At 39.9% G+C, this 25,986-nt stretch overlaps 1 long non-coding RNA gene across 6 annotated transcripts in view; it reads right to left on the minus strand.

Annotated features, from left to right (window-relative positions):
• Nucleotides 1-6,072: 6,072 nt before the first annotated feature.
• The window catches only part of LINC01278 (long intergenic non-protein coding RNA 1278), a 134,538-nt gene continuing 114,624 nt past the window's right edge, over nucleotides 6,073-25,986 (minus strand). For 4 of the 6 annotated variants that reach the window (NR_152612.1, NR_152609.1, NR_015353.2 and 1 more), the window contains 2 exons: nucleotides 11,879-12,006; nucleotides 6,073-8,496 (listed from right to left, as the gene is read on the minus strand). This is a non-coding gene — a long non-coding RNA (long intergenic non-protein coding RNA 1278). The remainder of the gene's footprint in view (nucleotides 8,497-11,878; nucleotides 12,007-25,986) is intronic. The other 2 variants (NR_152611.1, NR_152613.1) reach the window with 1 other exon arrangement.

A 25,986-nucleotide genomic window follows, 5' to 3' on the forward strand; every position in this document is an offset into this window, starting at 1 on the left:
TTTCTATGCCTTTGCCTTTCTCTTCACCTGTGGAACACTCAAAATTTGAATATTTGATTACTTTATGGTGCCCCATATGTCAAATATGCTTTATTTATTTTTTATTCAGTTTTTTTTGGTGTGTAATTTCAAAAGATCTGTCTTCAGGTTCTATAATTCATTCTTCCAGTTGATTTAGTCTAATTTTGAAGCCATCAAATGTATATTTTGCATTTATTGAATTCTTTAATTCCAGGGTTTCTGTTTGCTTATTTTTAAATTTATAATATTTATCCCTTTGTTGAATTTCTCATTCATATCTTGAATTGATTTTCAATTTTTTGTGTTGTTAATATGTCTTCTCTTGTATCTCACTGAGCTTTTAAATATCATTTTGAATTATTTTGACATTTCATACATTTCTTTTTTTATTGAAGCTTGTTATTTGAGAATTATTTAATTCTCTCGAAAGTGTCATGAGTTTGAATTTTTATTAGAGAGTTGAATCATTTGACATTTAGAGAAGTGTTAATTTGCTATTTGCTTCTTGTATGTCTTATGCTTTTTGCTTAATTTTCTATTGCAGCCTCCTTTCGTGTTAATACAATTTTGTAGTGATGTCTTTATTCCTTTTTAATTTTTTAATAAATATTCTGTCTATATATTTATGTTTACCATAGGGATTACATATAATATCTTCATGTTATAAGAATCCTCTTAAATTAATATAAACTAATTACATACAAAAGCTCTTCTCTTTTACAGCCCCTTATCCTTCGCGGTTTATGTTTTTGATGTCACAAATTACATCCTTATGTATAGTGTACCTATCAATGCATTAATAATTTTTTGCATGTTTCTTTTAAATCTCTACCAAAAAAGTGGGGTCCAACCCAAAATTACAATACTACATTGATGGATGGATATTAGTTATATATCCGATTTATATGTATATATAAAAATAGACTTTATGGATATTATATATATATTATATATATGTTTATATATGCACATTTGCCCATGTATTTACCTTTACAAAAGCTATATCCTCATATATCTTTTAGTTACTGTCTAGCATCTTTTAATTAGAACCTGAAGAATTCTGTTTAGCATTTCTTGTAGGGCACCTCTAGTGGTCATATGCTTTCTTGGTTTTGTTTGTTTGAAAATGTCTCATGTCTTTCTCATTTTATATTTCTTTCTCCAATTTTATTCATCAGTGTTTTATAATTTTGAGTACACAAATATTTCACAGCTTTGGTAAAATTTATTCCTATTTTATTTTTATGCTAATGTAAATGGTATTGTATTCTTTCTTTTCTTTTTTTTTTTTCCATTGAGATTGAGTTTTACTCTTGTTGCCCAGGCTGGAGTTCAATGGCGTGATCTTGGCTCACCACAACCTCCGCCTCCCAGGTTCAAGTGATTCTCCTGCCTCAGACTCCCAAGTATCTGGGATTAGAGGCAGGCACCACCATGCCCAGCTAATTTTGTATTTTTGGTAGAGACGGGGTTTCTCCATGTTCATTAGGCTGGTCTTGAACTCCCGACCTCAGATGACCCACCCGCCTTGGCCTCTCAAAATGCTGGGATTACAGGTGTGAGCCACTGTGCCTGGCCTGGAATTGTATTCTTAATTTCCTTTTCACATTCTTAATCATCACTGTATAAAAATGCTACAGGCCAGGTGCAGTGGCTCATGCCTGTAATCCCAGCACTTTGGGAGGCAGAGGTGGGCAGATCATGAGGTCAAGAGATCGAGATCATCCTGGCCAACATGGTGAAACCCCATCTCTACTAAACATACAAAAATTAGCTGGGCGTGGTGGTGTGTGCCTATAGTTCCAGCTACTCAGGAGGCTGAGGCAGAAGAATCCCTTGAAACCGGGAGGTGGAGGTTGCAGTGAGCCAAGATCGCGCCACTGCACTCCAGCCTGGTGACAGAGCGAGACTACCGTCTCAAAAAACAAACAAACAAAAAAACAAAACAAAACAAAAAACTACAGATTTTGCATGTTGATTTTGTATCCTGTAAATTTACTCAATCTGTTTATTATTTCTAACAGGTTTTTGATGGAGCCTTTAGGATTTTCTCTATATATAATCATGTCATCAGCAAACAAGGAAAATTTAACTTTGTCCTTACCAATTTTGATGCCTTTTATTCATTTATTTTGCCTAACTGTTCTGGCTAGTACTTCAAGTACTATTGTAAATAGAAGTGGCGTAGAAGTGCTGATTAGACTTCCTTGTCCTGTTCCTGATTTTAAGAAAAACTCAAATTTTCATTATTGAGTATGAGGTTAGCTGTGGGTTGTCATATATGGCCTTTATTGTGTTGAGTTACATTCATTCTGTACCTAATTTGTTGAGAAGTCTTATCATGAAAATATGTAAAATTTTGTCAAAATTTACTGCTAAGTCCATTTGGTCTAAAACAGTTCAGTACAGTGGCTCCTTTTTCATTTTGTGTTTCACTAATCTACCTGTTGTTAAAGTGTGATATTTAACTACCCTACGATTATTGCATTGCAATCTCTCTCTCCCTTCAGATCTAATATTTGCTTTACATATTTATGTGCTGTGAAATCGGTTGCATCTATATTAAAAGTTGTTACATCACCTTGATTTTTATTTATATTGACCTTTTTAAATTTTTAGTTTTTTTACTTAATGCATATTTTGTCTGTTATAAGTAGCTATCACTACTCTCTTTGGTTTCAAAGTCCATGGAATACATTTTTTCATCACTTAACTTTTAGTCTCTGTGTGTCCTTAAAGTTAAACCTCTTGTAAGCAACATAGAGTTGGGTGTTTTATTGTTTAATCCATTCAGGCCATGGGAAAATTTATTTATATTCAAGGTAATTATTGATAGTAAGAACTTACTGCTGCCATTCTATTCTTTTCTGGCTGTTTTGTAGATCCTTTGTTTCCTATTTCCTCTCTTCATGTCTTCCTTTGTGATTTGATGGTTTTCTGTAATATTATGCTTTAATTCATCTTTTTCTTTTGTATGTCTAATATACATTTTTGCTTTGTAGTTACCATGAAGGTAATGTAAAACATCTTATAACAGGGTTGGCTATACTTATATCAGACCTTAATATTGTCACCTGAATGATCCTTGTTGGCAAGACCTGTGGGAGATCTTCAGTATCTGTGAGGGGTGTCAGTAAACTCATCTGTGTCTCTCTGCCCAGTAACTAGGCTCTAGGGCTGGCAATCATGAAGGTTGCAGCCAGTGATGTGTACATGTTTCACTGCAGAAGCTAGTTGTAATCATGAGCGTTCCAGCACAGGCCACCTAGAGGGCTGGGTTCAGAGGTATGAGTTGAGGCTGAGTATGAGTGCACATGTGGCAGTGCTTGCTGTCAGCTTGCACATGAACGACTGAACAGGCCATCTGAGGTTCAGCAGTAAGATGAAGTCATGTGTGCATGCATGGGCAGCTTCAGGAATAAGCTGGAAGTGTGCACACGTGTGCAGCTCCAGGAGCCAGCTGTGTGTGTAGGCAGTATTTTGGAGGCAGGAGACAAGAGGCATGGCAAGGTGCTTGTTCAAGTTCAACTGTGGGGCTGGGCTGGCAGTGTGCAACAGCCTAGCTTCAGTGGCCAGCCTTGGGTGTGCAAGATGTTGGGGCTAGAGCCTTCAGCAGGGGCCCTGGGACTATCTGTGGGCACAAGCACAGTAGCTGCACTGGGTCTCTGGGACAAAGCACCTGCAGAGGCAGCAGCTGGGGTGACTCCACAAAGGAAGAGTCATGGTTTAGTCACCTGGAAAATACCAATGGATACAGTAGTGAGTCACCTAGTTGGGCTAACTATGGTGAGAGTAGCTCAGGTGGCTCTAGGGAGGGGAGAGGAGGAAAGAGAAAGAAAAAAAGAGAGAGAGAACATCATCTGGTCAGGTATCTGGTGACTGTCAATGTTGCTTGATGAGTCCCTGGGCCCTGGTGACTGCAGCAGCAGCAGTTGTGACTCTGGGTGACTCCAGGAAAAGGGAGTGTCTAAAGTACATGGAGATGGTGAAGAAAAAATACTGCAGGGCCTTTGGTGGCAAAAACTACAGAGGGTTTTCTGCTCTTTTGTTGGCAGTTTTCCTCAGTGGTGAAAGCCGCTAAGCTCCTCTGTAGAACAAGTCAATGATGTTAGTAATCAAGAACACGGAGTAGTTGTGGGCAATGATTGCTGCAGGGGCTGCACATCCACCAGGAGGGTTGTTGAGGTCCTCAGTGGAGATGTCTGCTAGAATCCTGTGCTGAGCAGACCACTAGGGTTCACTCTGAGACTATTCACATGGCCGATACTGATTGAGCCTGTCCCCCTTCTTTTTCTCTGCCATATCCAGATGTCTCAGCCATAGCATTTCTCCCACTGATCTGTGTGGAGTGAAACTGAAGCTGTCATTTGGGCAACATTCCAAAAGCCCGAGGAAGCTGGTTGTACATCCTCCTTTTCTTTTCTGTGCAAGGTGGGCAGGCATGCCAGAGAGTTCCCACTCCATGCTGAGAAGTGCCAGCTTGAGGAATGGGTTAATGCAGGTGAAATGAAATGATTTTTTTAATACTTTTTGTGTGGTTCTTCTCAGTTTTTTTTTCACTGTATTTCAGAGGCTCTTAAGTGGACCCCTAAGCTCTTCCATTTAGTTTTATTCACAACAAATTGTTGCTCTTTGTGGGAACAGGAAGGCTTGATTGCAGACTCCACCATATACTGATGTAATTATTTTCATAAATTTTTAATTACAAAAAAGATTTAAGAATTTTTTTGAACATAAACTCTGGTATGCCATCTGCAATGGAAATCATATTTAGTCTTTGCCTTTAAGAGGCTTTCATGTATTCAATGATTGACATAAGTCAATAGGCAATTACAATACAAATGTGAGTATACAGTGCTACGCAAACACATGAAAGGGACATTTATCATATTCCAATGGATAAGAAAAGGCTTACCTTAAGAAGTGACATCTAATCTGTGAGTAAATGGGAAATGAAGGAAAATCGTTTAGGCAGAAAGAGTGCCATGTTTCAACATCCCTAAGACCAAATGTGGTAAGACCATGGGGATTTCCAGGAATTGAAGTAGTTAAGGATTGTTTTGAGAAGTAAGACTAGATAAGTACCTCTTAATCAGATAGTGAAAGGCCTTGGCTAGAATTTTAGAATTTGGAATTATTCTGACAGTTATGGGAGCTCATTGATAGGTTTTAAACAATTAGACACAAATATTTATTGAGTGCATACAATATATAAGTATTATAATAATTGCTGCGTGAGAATGCAAAGGAACTCTATTATCAAGTTAAAGACAAAAGAGACATGGAAAATAACAAGTAGGTGCTAAAATGTAAGTAAGTGCAAAAGAAGCTAAAAAAAGACATCACTGGGGCCAGTATCAGTCAAAATTTTCTAACTGTCTTTTGTTTCTAGCCTAGTGAACTTTTTGGGAAACATTATTTTCATAGATTTTTAGGCTTACCGTCTGACAATCAGTCATCCACAGAGTCTTTCATGATTAGATACTTCACCACAAGGTGGGAATCTCAAAGGCTTCTTTTATATAGCCAGGGGCTTGGCCTTGGGGCTGTTTTGAAAAAACAGTCATAATAATCTCTCATCATTTATGACTACTATGTGTATTTTTTATGCAGACCTTGGTATTTCATCCTTGTACTAGGTAGAAAATCTTAAATTTTTCCAATTGCCTTTATGTTTATTGGTAACAATCAGTATGATCTACTATACTATGGTGTACTAAACTCACATTCCTGGGAGGCCATATTTTGAAGATCTTTTTTCCTGTTCAAGTTCCATGGGATAAAACACAAATGTATGTCCTTCAATAAAATAATTTTACTTTAAGATATTTATATTGAAGTAAAACTTTTGCACAGGTGCAAAAAGAAATATATTCTAAAATGTTTATTGAATACTGTTTGTGGTAGCAAAAAATGACATAAAACTAAAGTAAAATGGATTAAATAAGTATATTATTTTCATAAAATGGAATATTTATACCTCAGTCAGAATTGAATGAAGTAGTTTGATCTGTTAGAATGAAAGGGAGAAAAGAACGGAACAGAAGCAGCTCAATGGCAACACAGATTTATTGGGAGAAAGACCTGCGGAGAGGGGGTACCAGCTAGTGCCAGAGCCCCCTTCCCGCTTACAGGCTGGACCAGTTACAGTCCCGGGCAGGAGAGGTCTGGGATTGTTGTGAAAATGGGGTGGGGGCGGTGTGTTTGGCTGCTGATAATGAAGGAATTTAGTGCAGCCAGGGGTTAGGCCTGGGACCTGCCTGACAGGATGTTTCTCACAGCTCAGGCCCTGGTGGAATTTTCCACTCTGACCAGTTTGTAAAATGGTAGGGGTCTGCAAAATAGTGCAGTTTGGGCTAACATTCTTATTTCTTACTTTAGTATAAAAAGGAAAAAGGGCGTCGTTGATCATCTGGCTGCTTCCTGCTGGATAGGGGCGTTGTGATTAGGGCCTGGGTTCTGGAGCTTCCGAATGGTTTCCTCGTAGGCTCTGGTATTAGACGTGGCAAAGGTGAAATATATTATCAATGTGTTTTTGCATGCTTGCCTGGATAAAACAATTCAGCCTTTGGGAAATGAAGCGGGATACAAGGTTAAATATGCATGGCCCAATCATTAGTAACAGGAAGAGGAAGATCAGGGGTCCTAGGAAGGGGGCAACCCAGGGTATCCATCTTAGAAGGGATGATCCTTGCCACCAGGAGTCAGCGACTTGATGTCAAAGCTCTGCAGCCCTGTCATGAAGCCTACGAACTGCGATATGAACAATGCCAGATTCATTAACACAGAAACAGCATTCTTCCTGGAGGTATATGCAGGTACCCCCTTTCTCAGTGGTTAGGAGGTCCAGGACTCTCCAGTTTTGAAGGATGACTCCCACGAGGAAGTCTAATTGTCGTTGGAGACTGGTAATGGAAGTGTGCATATCTTCTACGGTGTTAGAAAGGGTTGTGAATAGTGTTTGGTATGAGGTGATTGAGGTGGTTATGCCTGCTATTCCAGTGCCAAGTGCAGCAGTGATGCCTAATCCTGTTAGCAGGGTGATGAGATGTAGAGCCCATTTATTTCTTATGGGTGAAGAGGAGATAGAGGCTTCTACAGAAATTAGAATAGTTTGGTTAGGGGGTAGGATGTTGATGGTTGGAGCCTGAAAGACCAGGGTGCAAGTTCCTGACCAGTTGGCTGGTAGGCAAAGATATCAGTTTGTATCACACAAAAAGAAGAGACTGGGGGTGGACAGGCAGAAGTTGTAGGTGAAGGTAGGTAGCCATGATAGGGTATTTTCGTTTTCCCAAATTGGGTAACTGCCAGCCAGAGCGGCACCTGTAAGGGCCTGATAGGGAGTCTTGGCTAGGGAGTTGATGAAGGCTGTTTGGTTTTGGAGAGAGAAAGAAATTGTCTTTGTCAACCGTTAGCCATTGCTGCCCCGGTGTGGTGGCTGTCAGGTACCAGTCACAGGTGAGGGAATTGTTACATTTTTTCCAGGGGGCACCTTTAAACTGGAGACATAGAGAGCAGAGTTGGCAGCGGGGAAGCCAGGAATTGGATGGAAGGAAAGAAAAGAGGATCCGGTGGTGAGGTGTAGGGATGTGTGGATGGTAGGCGAGCCAGAAAAGCATAACACCTTCTGCCAGGCAGAGGTGGATATGATTTTGTAATTAGGGTGTAGAATTGATGGTCTACAGGGAGTGCAAGGGTAAAAATAAGACCACATAGGGACTGGGGAACCTGTCCCACCATTGTGGCGTGGGCTGGATTAGGGTAGGTTCGGCTGAGACATAAGGGGGGTGGGGATATGAAGGAAGTTTGAGTAGAAATGGTACCCCCATATTGGTGGTTTAGATGATGCTGTGTTGGTTTGTATGGATGTTAGTCCAGAAGCTATTAGGTGAAGGAGGGCAACAGCCCTACCTGAAACCATGCTGAGAGAGCTGAGTTTGAAGGAAAGGTGTTTAGCTGAGTTTCCAGGTTATGAACCGGTTTCAGGAATGAATCAGCCAAGAATGGTATAGCCAAGTAAGAAATGTGTAAGCTCACGTTGGACTGTGTCCATGTAAGTAGGTCAGCCGGAAGAGCCGTGAATCATTGGGTGTGTGTAGAAAGACAAATCCAGCAGTTAGAGGAGAGGGGAGATTGTGACTGACTTAATACGTGGTGTGTGAGGCTGATGAAGGGGGCCCAGCTGTCAGTGATTGGGGGTGGGGACTCAGAATATCCCATAAGCAGAGAAGGCAAAAGGAGAAAAAGGAGATTTGTGTAGGTGTGAAATCCTGGAAGGTGCCTTGCAGCCATAGCTCCTCAATTAGCATGAGGAATTGAGATGGATTATCTAAGGGCGTGGGGAAGGGGTACCAGGAGAGATCTGAGACAAGGTATGAAGTAAAAGATTTAAGATTGGAAGTGGAGAGTGTCATGGGCCAGTGCCTTTCGGATGGGTGACTTCTGGAATTCTTGTTAGGCACAGCGAGGTTGGTCCTGTGGGAAAGGAAGAATATTTCCGGGGTGAGGAGACTTCGGGGTGTGGGCCGGGTGCCTTTTTAAATTTGGAATGGTGTATACAATAGGGAAAGGATGTTAACTTTGCAGCAGCGGGGATGGTGAATATAACCTGATAGGGACCCTTCCATTTTGTTGGAAAGGGGAGGAGGGGTGTGCTACCCAGACCCAGTCTCCTGGCTGTAAGGGTAAGAAAGTGAATTGGGAAGAATCCTCAGGTTTGGGGAGGTGAGTGTCAGTGTACTGTCGGACTAAGTGTTGAGTGAGGTGCAGTGCTGGCCAGGTGTCCTGTAAGGGAGGGGATGGAGCAAAGTTCTGTAGGACGAAAGAACGTCCATACAAAAGTTCAAAAGGACTTAGATTTAGAGGTTTTCGGGGGAGGGCCCTGAGGCACATAAGGGCCAAGGGAAGAAGTGATATTCAGTTTTCATTTTGATCTCTAGGGAAAGTTTGGTTAACTGTTGTTTTAAGAGGGCATTCGCCTGTTCAAATTTACCCGAGGATTGGGGGTGATAGAGAATGTGAAAAACCCATATGATGTTTAAAGACTTAGAAACCTGTTGAGTGACTTGGGAGATAAATGCTGGTCAATTGTCCAGTTGTATAGATGAGGGGAGGCTGAATCAAAGGATGATGTGTGTGAGGAAGGTAGAGGCAATGGTGTGTGCCTTTTCAGTGGTAGTAAGAAAGGCTTCTATCCACCTGAAAAGGTATCTACCATCGTGAGGAGATATCAGACTTTCTTTATGGGGGAACGTATGAGTGAAGTCAATTTGCCAATCCTGTCCCGGCAACTGGCCTTTGGGCCTGAAGGGAGGGAAAAGGAGGTGGTCTAAGGGCCCCTGAGGGGAAGTCTGACTGCAGGCAGAGCAACCTTTAGTGAGGCGGTCCAAGCTGATGGCCATGGTAAGGGAATGTATACAGGTTTTTAGAAATTGGAGCAACGGGAGATAACCCGCATGGAATTGGTTATGGATGTGGGTGAGAACAGAAAGTTTTTGGGTCTTGGGTAGGATGAGTTTGTAGTCTAAGTAAATTCAGCTTTCGTTATGAACAGCCCTGGAGCCAGCAAGGCACCTTTTTCTTCTTGGGTGTATGCTAGGGAAAATGGGCAATAACAATAGTGTTCTAAGGGCTGCCTGCCAGGCTGCCGAATCTGCTAAGAAGTTTCCCTTGGTTATGGCATCTGTAGCCTTTTGGTGTCCCTTGCAATGGATAATGACGGCCTCTAGTGGTAGTTTAGCTGCCTCCAGCGGCTTGTGTATGAGTTTGCCATTTATTATGGCGGTTCTTTTTGTAGTTAGAAAAACCCCTTTCCTGCCAGATTACAGTGTGAGACTGTAGGACATGGTATGCATATTTGGAATTGGTGTAAATGTTGACCCTCTTTCCCTTTGCTAGAGTGAGGGTCTTGGTTAGGGCAAATAGTTCCGCTTGTTGTGAGGTGATATGTGATGAGAGAGCATTGGATTATAGGAGTTTGTTTTCGGCAATGATGGCATAGCCAGCTGCCAGATATGGTTCCTTAAAAGAGCTTCCATCAATGAACCATGTGGGTTCCTTCCGCAAAGGGGCTTCTGAAATGTGTTGGAAAGGGGAGGAGAGGGAGGCTAAGAGGTCTAGGCAAGAGTGGGGGATTCAGAATTGGAAGTACTTATAGGGAGGAGGGTGGTTGGATTTAGAATTTTACATCTCTGGAAGGTGTTAGAGGGTTGCTGTAAGCTGGATGGCAGGAGGAAAAGAAGAGATCAATGGCTCATGGGGTCCCATAAGTTATGGGAAGATGCAATAGTAATGTGCTGGTAGAGGGTGAGTTTTTGTGCCTCTGAGGCCAGCAATGTAGCTGCATCCAGAACTTTCAAGCATGGAGGCCAGCCTTGGATGATAGAGTCCAGTTTTCAGAAGTATGCAATGGCTTCTGGAGTGTTGCCACGGGTTTGGCAGAGAAATCCAAGGGCAAGGCCTTGATTACAATGAACATACAGGGTAAAGGGTTTAATGGAATTGGGTAGTCCTAGTGCTGGGACATTAAAAGGGCATCTTTCAGTTTTTAGAAGTGGGAGTTAATGGGCAAGCTGGGTCCAAATGTTCTAGGATGGACCCACGTGATGCCGTGCAGAGTGGTTTGGTCAACAGGCCAAAGTTAATGATCCACAGCTGGAAGTACCCAACAAGGCCCAAAAAGGAAGGGTCCTTCTTGGTGTGGGGAAGGGGCACATCCTGTATTAGCTCCTTCCATCGGGCTGGCATGGCTCAAGAATTAGGGGTTAGGGTGAGTCCAAGGTTAGTGACTTGGGTTTGGGCTACTTGAGCCTTTGTAGGTAAAACCTGATATCCCTGGCCATAGAGGAAATTTAGAAGTTGGGTGATGTGTTGATGGATAGATCAAAGGAGGGACTACACATAAGGAGGTCATTGATGTATTGAAGGAGGCTGCTAGGAGCAAGGGGAAGCTCGATTAGTTCCTTGGTGAGAGCCTGCCCAAATAGGAGGGGGCTATCCCGGAACCCCTGTGGGAGTACAGTCTGTTAGTTAGGTAGATGTGTGAGTATCTGGGTCTGACCAGGTGAAAGCAAAAAGACTTTGGGAAGCCAGATCCAAGGGAATAGTAAAAAAAAAAAAAAAAAAAAAAAAAAAAAAAAAAAAAGTCCCTTAGATCCAATACAGAGAAGTGTGTGCTAGATGGGGGAATATGGGAGAGTAGAGTATAGGGGTTGGGGGCCACTGGATAGGTTGGTACCTCCACTTGGTAAATGACATGGAGATCCTGGACCAAGTGGTAAAATCTGTCTGTTTTTTTGACAGCCAGGACAAGGGTGTTGTGGGGAGAGTTAACAGGTTTGAGAATCTGAGCTTGTAAAAACTCACAGATAATAGGTTTGAGGCCCCTGAGGCTGGCTGGGCTAAGGGAATATTGAGGCTGATGAAGGAAAATGGAGGAGTCTTGGAAGGTTATTTTGACTGGGATGTGATGTGTGGCTATTGTGGGTTTAGAAACGTTCCACACTTCTGGATTGACAGAAGGTAACAGAGTGGATAGCAAAGATGAGGGGGAGGAGAGGGAAGCATCTGGACAGCAGAGTAAAATAAAAGGGGTAGAATTGCAGGAGGCTAGTCATATGGGGGCCTGGAATTTACTCAGTATATTCCACCCCAAGATAGGGGTAGGACACTAAGGGATAACTAAGAAGGAGTGGATGAAGGGGGTATTGAATAGGTTGCATAATAGGGGACCAGTATGTGCCTAGAGGGGATTCCATTGACTCTCACAATAGAGATAGAAGAACTGAGGAGGGTCAAGAATATTCTGATAAAACTGAGTAACTAGTCCCCAGATCTAAAAGGAAGAGCATGGGCTTACCAAAGACTGACAGCGTTACCCTGGGTTCCGAGGTGGTGATGGCGGTGGGGGCAGCGGACCCTGGGCCCCGTCAGTCTTCAGCAGCCAGGTCTACAATGCTTGCCAGACTGGAACCAGGGTTGCAGGACCTGTTTGAGTTAGAGGTGGTCAAGCGGGGTGAAGAGTCTTGTTGAGTGCAATCTGACTTCCAGTGTCCCTTGATACCACAGATGAGGCAAGGTTTTGAGGGCGGCACAAGATTGGGGCAGACTCTTGCCCAGGGACCCTGTTGGCTACACTTAAAACAGACTCCTGATGGGGACTGTCATGAGGTTGAGGATTTTTGTATGCATTGGGGAATCCTGTTGTATGGCAGCTGACAGCATCTGGTATTTAGCCTGGTCTCTTTTAAGCTTTCGGGTTTTTATTTCTTCCTCTCTATTGTTAAAGACCTTGAAGGCTGCTTTGATTAAGTCTCTTTAGGAGGTTTGAGGGCCATCCTCCAGTCTTTGGAGTTTCTTTTGGATGTCGGGGGCTGACTGGGAAATGACGTGTAAATGGAGGTAGACTCTGTCCTCGGCAGTGTCAGGGCTTAAGCTGGTATATTTAATCACGGTCTCTGAAAGGCAGGAGAAAAAAAGAGTAGGGTTTTTGTCAGGGGCCTTGAGTGATTTCTTTATCTTTTCATACTTGACAGTCGTAAGGGCGGTTTTATTCATGCCAGTTAGGAGGCATGTTATCATATGGCCTAGTTTCTGTCTGTCTGCAGAAGCCACCTGATAATCCCAACTGGGGACAGTACTGGGAATAGCGAGGGTTGTGACTGGGTTATGGGCAGCATCTTGTCCGTGGAGGGTGTCTGCTTGGGCCTGATCCAGATATGTTCCCTGTTCTCCAGGGTGAGGGAGGAGGAGAGGATGACAGAAATGTCATGCCAGGTAAGGTCATAAGATTGAGTGATATACAGAAATTCCTTGTGGAAGGATGTGGGGTCTGTGGAAAAGGAGTCAAGTCTCTTTTCAATCTGAGAGCCATCAGCTACAGAGAAAGGAACATGAACTCAGACTATGCCTTCAGTCTCCATAACATCCCCCAATGGGGGGACTTTAGAGGGCCTCTGGGCCTGTGCCTGGTTTTCAGCAGCAGAAGGGGGCTGAGTATGAGATCAGTTATGGTGGGGAGAGGGTAGAGGAGATGGGGGATAGGAACAAGGGGGTGGGGGAGCCGAAGGGGAAGGAGGAGGAGACGGTGGTGGGAGTGGGGCTGGGGGGCGGGTGGGGATTCGTCGTCTGGATAAAAATCAGAGGAGGAGGAGGAGGAGGGCTTGTCTGGAAGGGGAGGCATTTTGGCAGATTTCTTGTTTAAGAGGAGCAGCTGGTAAGGTGAACAGGACTGATAGAGGGAATTGGCAAAAGCCTGGATATAGAGCATCTTGGACCACTTGCCATTGTGCTGGAGGACATTTTCTAAATCATGTTGAATTTGGAAGTCAAAAGTCCCATCTGGGCCAGCAGCCATCATTGTCCAGCTTATACTGGGGCCAGGCCACATTACAAAGGAAAATAAGGCATTTAGTTTTAATGGAGTCGGCCAAGCCCAGTGCTCGGAGGTTCCAGATGAGACATCTGAGAGGGGTGTCTGGAGGGGATTTCGAGGAGCCCTGCCCCATATGAGTGGCTGGGAGGGTGAAAAATGTGGAGTAGGGGAGTGAGTATCCCAATTCTAACCATGAGAAGGGATGGAGAAGAGCCGGGGTGCCCCCGTAGCTCTTCGTGGTCCCCCAGAAACCAGAGTGGTCAGAGCGTGAGCATTCTGAGGGCATCCCCTGAGAAGGCAGGCCAGGGTCACCCAGTGGTGACCGGGGAATCCTCTTACCTGGCGCTGGGGTTTTCTGGCTAACAGGCAGAAATATGAGAGGAATCCAGAGGGTGGAAAGGGAAACTCACCCACAATTGGAGGCCGGTGTTGGATGCAATGGGAGTGGTCCTTGCCAGAGCCACAGAGAGGAAAGAGGGGGAAGGAGAAAGCGGTGGGAGGATGGGGCCGAGAGAAAGAATTCCTCCGTAGAAAGACGAAAGTGGGCAGGGCTGGGAACCAGGGGCCAATCAGGATTTGGGAATTAGCCCGGGGCGAGCTGCCGCTGCCTCTTCCTTCCCAGGTTGCAAGGAAGTACCTCTCCCTTGTGGGATCTAGACCCCATCCCAGGTTTTGGCACCAAATGTTAGAACGAAAGGGAGAAAGGAATGGAGCAGAGGCAGCTCAAGGGCAACACAGGTTTATTGGGAGAAAGGCCTGCAGATAGGGGGTACTAGCTAGCGTCGGAGCCCCAGTCCTTCTTACAGGCTGGGGCAGTTCTAGGCCTGGGCAGGAGAGGTCGGGGATGGTTGAGAAAATGGGGCGGGGGTGGTGTGTTTGGCTGCTGATAAAGGAAGGAATTTACTGCAGTCAGGGGTTAGGCCTGGAACCTGTCTGACAGGATGAATTTATTGCCCTCAGGGTTTAGGCCTGGGACCTTTCCAACAGGATGTTTCTCACAGCTCAGGCGCTGGTGGAATTTTCCATTCTGACCAGAGTTTGTAAAATGGTGGCAGTCTGCAAAATGGCGTGGCTTGGGCTAACACGATCAACATGCATCAATTTCACAGACAAAATATTGGGCGGAACACCCCAGGATAATACACAAAATGAAACTGTTTTGGTAAATACTGAAAACATGCAAAACAACATAAATGTTATTTTTATATACTAAAATATGTACTAGGATCTTAATAATATACATGGAAAAATAAACACAAGAAGGAGAGGGAAATGGGATTACATTATAGCACAAAAAGTATTTTAATTTCATTTGTAATGAATTATTTGTTTAAAGAGAAGCTAAAGCAAGTATAAAAATGTTATAATTTAATAGTTGGATGGTATGCATTTAGGAATTTATGTTAATCCCTTTACTATTGTGCCTGTTGGAAATATTTCATTATTAATGTTAAATATTATTTTGGAAAGATAAAAAGGTATATTAATAAATTTATAGCGATATAAATACATAAATATGATAAATAATAAATCAATTATAGTAAAATGTTAATATTAGAAGGTTATATTTGGATGTTCAAAACCTAATTCTTTCAATATTTCTGAACATTTAAATATTTTATAATAAAATGTTTGAGTAAAATAATAATGGATCAATTTCTGAAATGAAATGAGCAAATGATACAACAAAGTGAATATTTATTTCTAACAACCCAGCAGTTGTTTGTGTTATCTATAAATCAATGATAGGGTGAAATAAAACCTCTCGGATTGGAACAACAAATATGTGTGGTAAAATTTTGATACTAGCATGCAATTCACTTAAATGAAAAAGAAACACAGAAAATATTTATCCCAATATTGCCAATACAAAGAAATAAAAATGAAAAATAATTAAAAATTGGACAAGCACTAAAAGCAGTATTTAAAAAAGTCTATTTTAAATACCATATAGAAGATGAATCTAAGAAATATACACATACTTTATTTTCCTCAAGATTACTGACTAGAGGTTTTTCCAACGTGCCTAATCCATTTAGACGAGCAAAAATAGTGGTTCTTCTCTGAAAATTATATAACAAGGACCACAGCAGTTAAGCAGAAAAATGAAAAAAAATTCTGAATCTGGGAAACAGAAGGAAGGCATGAAGTTCTCTTGGCTGGGATCAGCTAAATACTGGGTACGAATCCCCAACATGGGAAAGCATGAGTGAGTGCTTCTCTGCAGTTCACTTTTCCACTGGGGAATGGTGAAATCCAGACCACAGGAGAGCACCTTAACTTTCTGAATCCCTAGATCTAACTTGGGTAATGGCCGGGAGCCTATAAGAAGGAACTGCTCTGGGAAGTGTTCCATGTACTTCCTCAGACTTGGGTACCTAAAGAAAAATGACATTCTAGATTTTAGCTCTTAGCAAGCTCTGTGGGGTCAAGGGAGCTTGAGGCAGTGGCAGTCTTTGGCATTAGAGAGACTTGCACTGGGGCACGGACAACTAGGGCTCAAACGGGAGGAGCTCCCACAGCCAGAACAGAGATATGAGTGTAGTGTGGACTCCAGCTACTGGTACCAGAACTGAGCTTCTCTTCTAGGACCAGAGAAGGAGGAGAATTGCCTGGGAGGCATGGTATTGACCAAGTCAGTGACTTCTAATACTAGGGACTTTGTTGGAAACTAGAAGCAAATTGTAGTGACTAGCCAAATATTCAAACTGCTTACCACAATTGGTACAGGAGAGTGAATGATGTCAAGTCTGGAGTGTGAGGGGGAAGCACATTTCACTTCCACTGGCTAAGAATGTGGCACTGGCACCACCCCTCCCTCTCTGTGCTGAGACCTTGATGAAGAAGCAGTTGTCCCTCACCCATGCATTCTTCCAGAGGCCCGAGTACCATGATGCCACCCCCAACAGGGCTGGTGCTTTAATCCACCATTGAGGATCCTGAGTGTAGGTTTCCCATGCCTGGTTCCAGTTAGTTTCAACTCCAACCCAAGGCAGAACATGAACTCATGACCCTGAACATTCCATGGTATCATGCACCACCTGGGCCACTTGAGCAATTTTCTCAGATAAAGAGGTTGGGCATAAACACTTCTGCTATCACTTTAGCTGGCTGTAACCTGCAGGCACCAACTACTGGCATGGAGGTGAATCTGCACAGCCCATTACAATAACAGCTGACATAAGAGCACAACGCTCAGGAATGATAAAATGTTTTTATGACCACTGCTACCTGCATGAGGCATGCCACCTCAGCTGTTCAGTTCAGGAAATCATGAGAGCACTCACCCATTTAGTATACTTGGCATTTGAGAAAGATTACTGGCTTTTGAGAAAGATCATATTAAGGGTATTTAGAAGCAAGGAAATCATACAATCTTTGCCACTGAACACAGCCAAACAGCCTTACACAACATACACCAGAGTCACATCAAGAATAGCCTCCCCCATGAAAGTACATTCAGAAATAAAAAAAGACTAATACTCCAGATATGCAGTGATCAATGTAAAGATACAAGAATCATGAAAAAGCAAGGTATTATGACACTTTCAAAGGATCGCAATAATTCTCTAGCAATAGATTCTAACAAAAAATCCTCAAAATGCCAAATAAGTCAGAATATTGATTTTTAAAAAGCTCAATGAAATGCAAGAAAAAATCTGAAACCAATACAAAGAAATACAAAATCAATTCAGAATATAAACAATCAACTTATCAAGAATATAAATATCTTTAAAAAATCATGTCAAATTTTCAACAATATACCAGAACAAGCAAAATAAAGAATCTCAGAACTTGAAGACAGGTGTGTTGAAATAGCCCATGAAGACAAAAACTTTTAAAAAGAATAAAAAAGAATGAGAAAGGCCTTCAAGACTCATGGGACTAAGAGCTACCAAACTTTCAAATTATTTGTATTCCCAAAAAGGAATAAAAATTTTAAAAATGATATAAAACCTATTTAAAGAAATAATTGATGAAAGCTTCCAGATTATGCAAAGAAATGTAGACATACACATACGGGGGGACCAACAATCTCTTGGAAAATACATTATAAAAAGGAATTCACTATAGCATACTCTCATCAGACTGTCTAAAAAATGTGAAAAAAAGAATTGTAAAATTATCAAGAGAAAAGTATCTACTGACCCACAAGGAAACCCTATCAGACTAAGTGAAAACATACTAGCAGAAAACTTAACAGTCAGAACAGAATGGGATAGTATTATCAAACGCTTAACAAAAAGCTGCAATCAACAATTTTATATCCAGCTAGATTAAGCTTCAAAGAAGAAGAAATAATTTCCAGAGAAGCAAATGCTGAGGAAATTCATCACCACTGCACTAACTTATGAGAAATGCCCAAAGGAATCCTAAACATGGAAATTAAAAGTCAATATTCACCATCATGGAAACACCCAGAAAAAGTAACCTCACAGGTATTATAAAACCATCACATAAAGGATGAAGAGAAATAAATCAAATGGTGATTCAATACAATAACACTAAAGACTAACAGAATTTATAAAACAGCTGGATAATACTTTTATTTATTTATTTATTTTGAGACAGAGTCTCACTCTGTTGCCCAGGCTGGAGTGCAGTGGCGCGATCTCGGCTCACTGCAAGCTCCGCCTCCTGGGTTCACACCATTCTCCTGCCTCAGCCTCCCGAGTAGCTGGGACTACAGGCGCCTGCCACCACGCCCGGCTAATGTTTTGTATTTTTAGTAGAGACAGGGTTTCACCATGTTAGCCAGGATGGTCTCGATCTCCTGACCTCGTGATCCGCCCGCCTCAGCCTCCCAAAGTGCTGGGATTACAGGTATGAGCCACCGCGCCCGGCCTGGAGAATACTTTTATACATTTTTATATTTTTAACAATATGACAGTAACTAAATGTAACATATCATTATTAACCCTGAATATAAATGAATTCAATGCTCCACTTAAAAGACACAGATTGACAAAATGGATTTAGAAAATTATGATCCAACCATATGAAGCTTACAAGAAACTCAGTTTACCTGTAAAGATACATTTAAACTGAAAGTAAAGTGTGAAAAAAAATTATGTACAAATAGAAACAGAAAGCAGGAGTCACTATATTTATATCAGATAAAACAGTCTTTAAATCAAAAACAGTAAAAAAAGGCAAGATAATCATATTATAAAAAATATGGCCAAGTCATCAATTCAGTAAGAGGATATAACAATTCTAAATGTATATGCACCCAAAACCAAAGCTCCCACCATTCATAAACAAATATTAGTAGACCTAAAGAAGAGATATACAGCAATTCATTAATAATGGGGGACCTCAATGCCCCACTTACAGCACTAGACAGATCAATGAGACAAAAAATACAACACGGAAACTTTGGATTTATGTTGAATTTTAGACCAAATGGACCTAACAGGCATTTATAGAACATTCTACCCAACAACTGAAGAATATACATTCATTCTTCTCATTGCACATGGAACATTTTCCAAGACAGGCCATATGTTAGGCCACAAAACAAGTCTTAACACATTTTTAAAAACTGTAATCATATCAAGTATCTTCTCAGACCACAATGGAAAAAACAGAAATACCAAGAGGAAACACTGAAAATATACAAAAGCATGGGAATTAAACAACACACTCCTGAGTATTTAGGTCAATAAAGTTAAGACAGAAATTTAAGAAAATCTTTGAAATGAATACAAATGGAAATATATACCAGAACTTCTGGGATATAACAAAGCGAAGAAAGTTTATAGCAGTAAATGCCTACATCAACAAAGTAGAGCAATCAAAAAATAACAACCTAATGTTACACCTCAAGAAACAACCAAACCAAGAAAAAACCAAACCCAAAATTAGCAAAAGAAAATAAATAAATAAATAAATAAATAAATAAATAAATAAATAAATCAGGGCAGAACTAAATAAACTACATCAAAAACCAAACCAATACAAAGTAATCAATAAAACAAAAAACTCACTCTTCAAAACAAAAAAGGTTTCTTTTTTGTTCTGATAAACAAAACAAAACAAAATAAAACAAAAAGAATTGATAAACAGAACTGATAAACCACTAGCTAGACTAACCACTGCAATTCATAACATACACATAAAAATGATCATCGGATACTCTTTTGAACAACTAAATGCTCACAAACTTAACAACCTAAAGACAATAGATACATTTTGGGACACAACTAACCTCCCAAAAACTGTAAAAAGAAAAAGAAATGGAAATCCAGAACAGATCAACAATGAAGAAGGAGATTGGAATAGTAATAAAAGAAAACCCCAAAAACAAAAAAATCCATACCCATACAGATTCACAGCTGAATTCTACCAAACCTACAAAGAAGAATTAATATGAATACTCCTGAAATTGTTCCAAAAATGTGAGGAGGACAGAATTTCCCTTACTTCATTCTAAGAAGCCAGTATCATCCTGATATATAAACCAAACAAGGACACAGAAAATAGAAACCAGAAAAAGTACAGACCAATAACACTGATGAACATTGAAGCAAAAATCCTCAAAAAAATACTAGTGAACCAAATCCAACAGCACATCACAAAGATACTGCACAGTGATCAAGTGGGTTTTATAACATAGATGAAAGGATGGTTCAATATACACACATCAGTACATGTGATACATTATATAAAAATAATTGAGAATAAAAATCACATGATCATCTCAATATACACAGAGAAAACTTTTCATAAAATTCAGCATCCCTTCATGATAAAATACTCAATAAACTAAGAATAAAAAGAACATAACTCAAAATGACAAAGACCATATACAAGAAATGCAAAACCAACATCATAGTCAATAGAGAAAAGTCGAAAGCTTTTCCTCTAAGAACTTAAATAAGACAAGAATGCAACTTTCACCACTCATATTAAACAGAGAACTAAAAGTCCTAGCCAGAGCATTCAGGAAAGAGAAAGAAATAAAAGCCATCTAAGTTGGACAAGAGGAAGTGATATTATTGCTATTTGCAGATGTTATGCTTATGTATCTATAAAATCCTAAAGATTCAACCAAAAATTTCCTAGATTTGATAAATGAGTTCAATACAGATTTAGGATACAAAAGAAAGGTATAAAAATCAGTAGCCTATTTATACAACAATAATCTTATCTGAGAACAAACTCAAGAAGGAAATTCCATTCACAATATCTACAATAAATGCTCAGGAATATATTTAACCAAGAAGGTGAAAGAAAAACTGCAAAACACTGACAAAATAAATTATAGATAATACAAATGGAAAAACATCTCATGCTCATGAATTGGAAAAATTAATACAGTTAAAATGACCATACTGACCAAAACAATCTAGAGATTAAATCCAATCATGTCAAAATATAAATGTTATTCTTTCACAGAATTAGTAAAACAATAGTGAAATTCACACAAAACCAGAAAAGTGTGTAGATGGCCAAAGCAATCCTAAGTGAAAAGAACAAAGGTGGAGGCATCACATTACCTGACTTCAAATTATACTACAAGGCTATAGTAACCAAACAGCATGAAACTGGTATGAAAATAGATACATATGTTAATGGATCAGAATAGAGGACCCAGAAATAAAGCCACATGTCTACAGCCAACTGATCTCTGACAAAGTTGACAAGAACATACATTGAAGAATGACACTCTTTTCAATCAATGGTGCTGGAGCTCTTGCACTAACACTGAACAGAAAACAGTGGATACTTCCCAGCCCTGAGCAGCCACTCCTGATTGTGGAGCACTGAGACGGCGCCCAGACTTGTGCCTGCCAGAAGCCCACCCTTGAGCCAGCACCATCTCCAGCATGACCACATGCCCCATGAACCAACATCTGAGTCAAAAACTTTGCCAGCATGTCTATAGACACCATCAGGGGCTGCCTGTACCTCCCTCCCACCCTGCATTGCCTTCACCACTGTGGTGAACATTTGCAGAGAGGCAGGCACCCTGGCACCAACTTACCACACTGCTGCAGCTGCTGCTACTGCTGTTGCTGGCATATGTGAATGAGGAAGGATCTGGCTGTAAACATACTATAAAACGCTTTGGCTGACACTACCCATTGGAGTGTAGTGAACAGCAGTGCAGGAGCACCTTGGCCCTCATAGTGCAGTAAATTCCTAAATTCAAGGAGGCAGAGAACAAAGTTGAGACCCAATACAAGTTCCCCACAGTTAGAGAATGCAGTCCAAAAGTTGGGAGGTAAGCGCTGGCCACCTAAAATCTTTCAGAAATGAAGCCAGTTGGCTGTAAGGACTAAGATCTGAATTTTTTTTTAATCTTGTCCAAATTCTTATGTAAGGGATCTGAGGAGTCATGCCCTACAAACTATAAATTATCATCTGATGGGTTTTATTTAACCCTGTATATCGTGACTTACTTTCCAATCTGACTCTGGCATAACCTTATGTGACAAAGAAGAAAATAAAAATATTTTACCCCAAAATGCTTCATCATATTTTGAAATGGCCCTTCAAAACCATCCTTTGTGGGGGAAATTTGCATATGTAAAGACTCTCTAATAATATAGCTAGATCTTTTTCTTCCAGGCCCTCCCAATCCTGAAGATATTAACTGAGATTCTAGCACCTTTTAAAGATCTGAATAGGAAATATTTGTCATCTATTGTCTGTAAGGGCAGCCACTATGAGACTTCAGAAACCTTGGTCTCCATAATCTTTTATCTTAACCTGAACATTTCCTTTCTATTAATCCCAGGTCTTTAGACAAACTCAACCAAGAGTAAACAAGAAAATGTTTAAATTCACCCAAAGCCTGGAAGCCCCTTCTTCGAATTTTCCTGCCTTTCTCGACCAAACCAATGTATTTCTCAAATGTATTTAATTGATGTTTCATGCCTCCCTAAAATGTATAACACCAAGCTGCACCCCAACCATCTTGGACACATGTTCTCAGGACCTCCTGAGGGCTGTATCACAGGCCATGGTCACTCATATTGGGCTCAGGACAAATCTCTTAAAATATTTTACGGAGTTTGACTCTTTTCATCAACGGCTGCATCCAACTTATACCACAATCAAGCCCTCAAAATAATTAGATAGGATAAAATAAAGTAAGCAACAGCAAAGATTGTAGGAAGATAAGCACGGAAAGAAGAGAAAGAATCAACCCAAGAATCCTGAAGACTCAAAAAGCCCAGGTACCTTCTTTCCTCCAAATGACCACATCACCTCTCCTGCAAGAGTTCTGAACCAGGTTGAGATGGCTGAAAGGACAAAAATATAATTCAGAATATGAATAGGAATGAAGATCATTGAGCTACAGGAGTACACTGAAACCCAATCCAAGGAAGCTAAAAATCATGATAAAACAATTCAGAAGTTGACAGACAAAATAGCCAGTATAGGAAATAACATTACTGTCCTGATAGAGCTGAAAAACACACTATGAGAACTTCACAATGCAATCATAAGTATCAATGGCAGAATAGACCAAGTGGAAAGAAAGAATCTCAGAGCTTGAAGCCTATCTTTTTGGAATAAGACAGGCAAACAAGAACAGACATAAAAAGAATGCAAAGGAATGAACAAAATCTTTGGGAGGTATGGGATTATGTAAAGAGACCAAATCTACGATTCAATGGTGTACCTGAAAGAGATGGGGAGAATGGAATCACTTGGAAAACATTTCAGGATATCATCCATGAGAACTTCCTCAACCTAGATAGAAAGGCAAACATTTAAATTCAGGAAATGCAGAGAAGCACAGTTAGACACTTTACAAGAAGATCATCTCCAAGACACATAATCATCTAATTCTCCAAGGTCAAAAAAAAAAAAAAATGTTAATGGCAGCTACAGAGAAAGGTCAGGTCACCTACAAAAAGAAGTCCATTAGACTAACAGCAGACCTCTCAGCAGAAACCCTACAAACAAGAACAGATTGAGGACGAATATTCAACATTCTTAAAAAAAAAAAATTCCAAAACCAGAATTTCATATCCATCCAAACTATGCTTCATAAGTGAAGGAGAAATAAAATCCTTTTCAGACAAGCAAATGCAGAGGAAGTTTGTTATCAGCAGACTTGCCTTATAAGAGCTCCTGAAGGAAGCACTAAATGTGGAAAAGAAAAACAGTTACCAGTCACTAAAAAAACACACTGATGTAAAAACACACCAGTGACACTATAAAGCAACCACACAAATAAGTGTGCAAAATAACCAGCTAATATTATGACAGAATCAAATCCACACGTCAATACTAACCTTGAATGTAAATATGCTAAGTGCCCCAATTAAAAGTCACAGAGTGGCAAGGTAAATAAAGAAACAAGACCTAAAACTATGCTGTCTTCAAGAGACCCAGGAAGTAAGACACAGGAAGACAGACACCTCGTGTTCTCACTTATAAGTAGGAGATAAATGACATGTAAACATGGACTTAGAGTGTAGAATAATACACAATATAGACTCAAGGATGGGGATTTGGCAGATGAAATATTAATTAATGGATACAATGTACATTATTCTGGTGATGGATATACTAAAAGCCCTGACTTCACCACTATACAATATATCCATGTAACATTATTACACTTGTACCCCATAAATTTATACAAATAAAATAAAATGAATACAGTCATACAGCCTACTGGTATGCATGTACACTGTGAAATATAATAACATTATATTATTTTTATTTTTCTATTTTTTATTATTGATATATAACATAAATTTTAGTATTTTAAAATGTGTACTTCAGCAGTTTTCAGTATTTTCACAATGCTGTGCAACTATTACCACTATCTAATTAGAGAACATTTCCATACTCCCATGTTCATTAACATATACTCTCCATCATCTTCATCTCTAAGTCATTGGCAAACATTTATCTACTTTATATCTCCATGAAATTGCCTACACTTGACATCCTTTTTCTTCCAGGGAGCATCTTTTCAACATTCATCCATTTTGGAGCACATATCAGTAATTAATTTATTTTTATGGCCCAATATATTATTGTTTTGCTAGACCACATTTTGTTTAACCATTGATGGACTTTTTTTTTGTGTACAAGATTTTGTTTGAACATATGGTTTCAATTCTTATGGTTATAGAGTTAGGATTAGAATTGATAGGTCACATTGGCATTCTACAGTGAATTATTTTATAAACTGTGAAAGTATTTTCCATAGCAGCTGCACTATTTTACATTCCCTCCTTCAATATATGAGGATTCAAATTTTGCAAATCACCAATACCATTTATTTCCTTATTAAAATATTTATAGCCATCCCAGTGGATATAAAGAATACCTTACTGGTTTGCATTTCCCTATATGATTAATGATGTTGAACATATTTTTGTGTGTTCATTTGTCATATATACGTCTTCTTTGGAGAAGTATCTATTCACATAATTTGGTTATGTTTTAACTGACCAAATTATTTTTGTTTTTCTCTTTTTATTGTTGTTTTAAGTGTTCATTATATGTTATGTACACTAGACTCTAATCAGATATATTGATGGCTTGAAAAGGCTTTCTCTAATTCTGTAGATTGTCTTTTCATGGTAGTGTCCTTCAATGTACAAAATAAATTTTGAAGTCAAATTTATCTATATTGTCATTTCTTGCTTGATCTTTGTGTCATACTTTAAAAAGGTGCCTAATCAAATGTCATTAAAATTTTCATTTTTTATCTAAACATTTTATACTTTTACCTCTCACATTCAAGTCTTTGATACATATGAGTGCAACTCCATTATTTTGTATGTGCATATCCATTTGTTCCAGGACCATTTGTTGAAAAGGCTATTCCTTCCCCATTAAATTGTCCTGGCAATCCTTTTTAAGATCAATTGAATATTAATGCATGGGTTAATTTCTGCACTCTGAATTCTATTATATTACCTTATATAGGTCTACCCTTATGACAGTAGCACATTGTCTTAACTACTATAGCTTTGTAGTAATTTGTGAAAACGGGAAGTGTGGTTCTCCAAATTTCCTCTGCTCCATCAAGATTGTTTTGGCAATACTGAGCCCCAATTTTCCAATTTTATGATTAGCTTGTACGTTTCTGCAAAGAAAAGACTATTGTGGTTTTGAAAGGGATTTCAGAGAAACATAGAGGAAAAGACAAACTTTATTTCCCTCTATGCCCACCTAACACAGCACAGAACACTGCACTTCTATTATTAATATGTGAGGATTATTCCCTCACACACCAAGCAATTCTTCAATGGACACCAACTGGGTATTCCATTATTCAATTCCGACAGTATTTAGTTGGGTTGGATAGTGTCAGATCTTGTGAGATATCACAAGATCATATCTCACAAGATCTAGTGTGCTAAATCTTGTGAGATGGAGCCCTCACAGGTTGAGGCCTCTATCTCACAGGAATGTCCCCGCTTCAACACTAATTGGAAGTAGCAGGTTGTCACCTGTACTTCTGAGTGTCCAGCTATGTATCAGAATTCCCATAGCTCCCAACTTAGGTTTAATTGGGTAGGACAGCTTGTGGAACTCAGGAAACATGTACATTTACTAATTTAGTATTTTTTTAATGGAATGGATTTTTATTTTCTAGAATTTTTTAA

Source organism: Homo sapiens, chromosome X (genome assembly GCF_000001405.40).
Source record: "Homo sapiens chromosome X, GRCh38.p14 Primary Assembly".
Classification (NCBI taxonomy): Eukaryota; Metazoa; Chordata; class Mammalia; order Primates; family Hominidae; genus Homo; species Homo sapiens.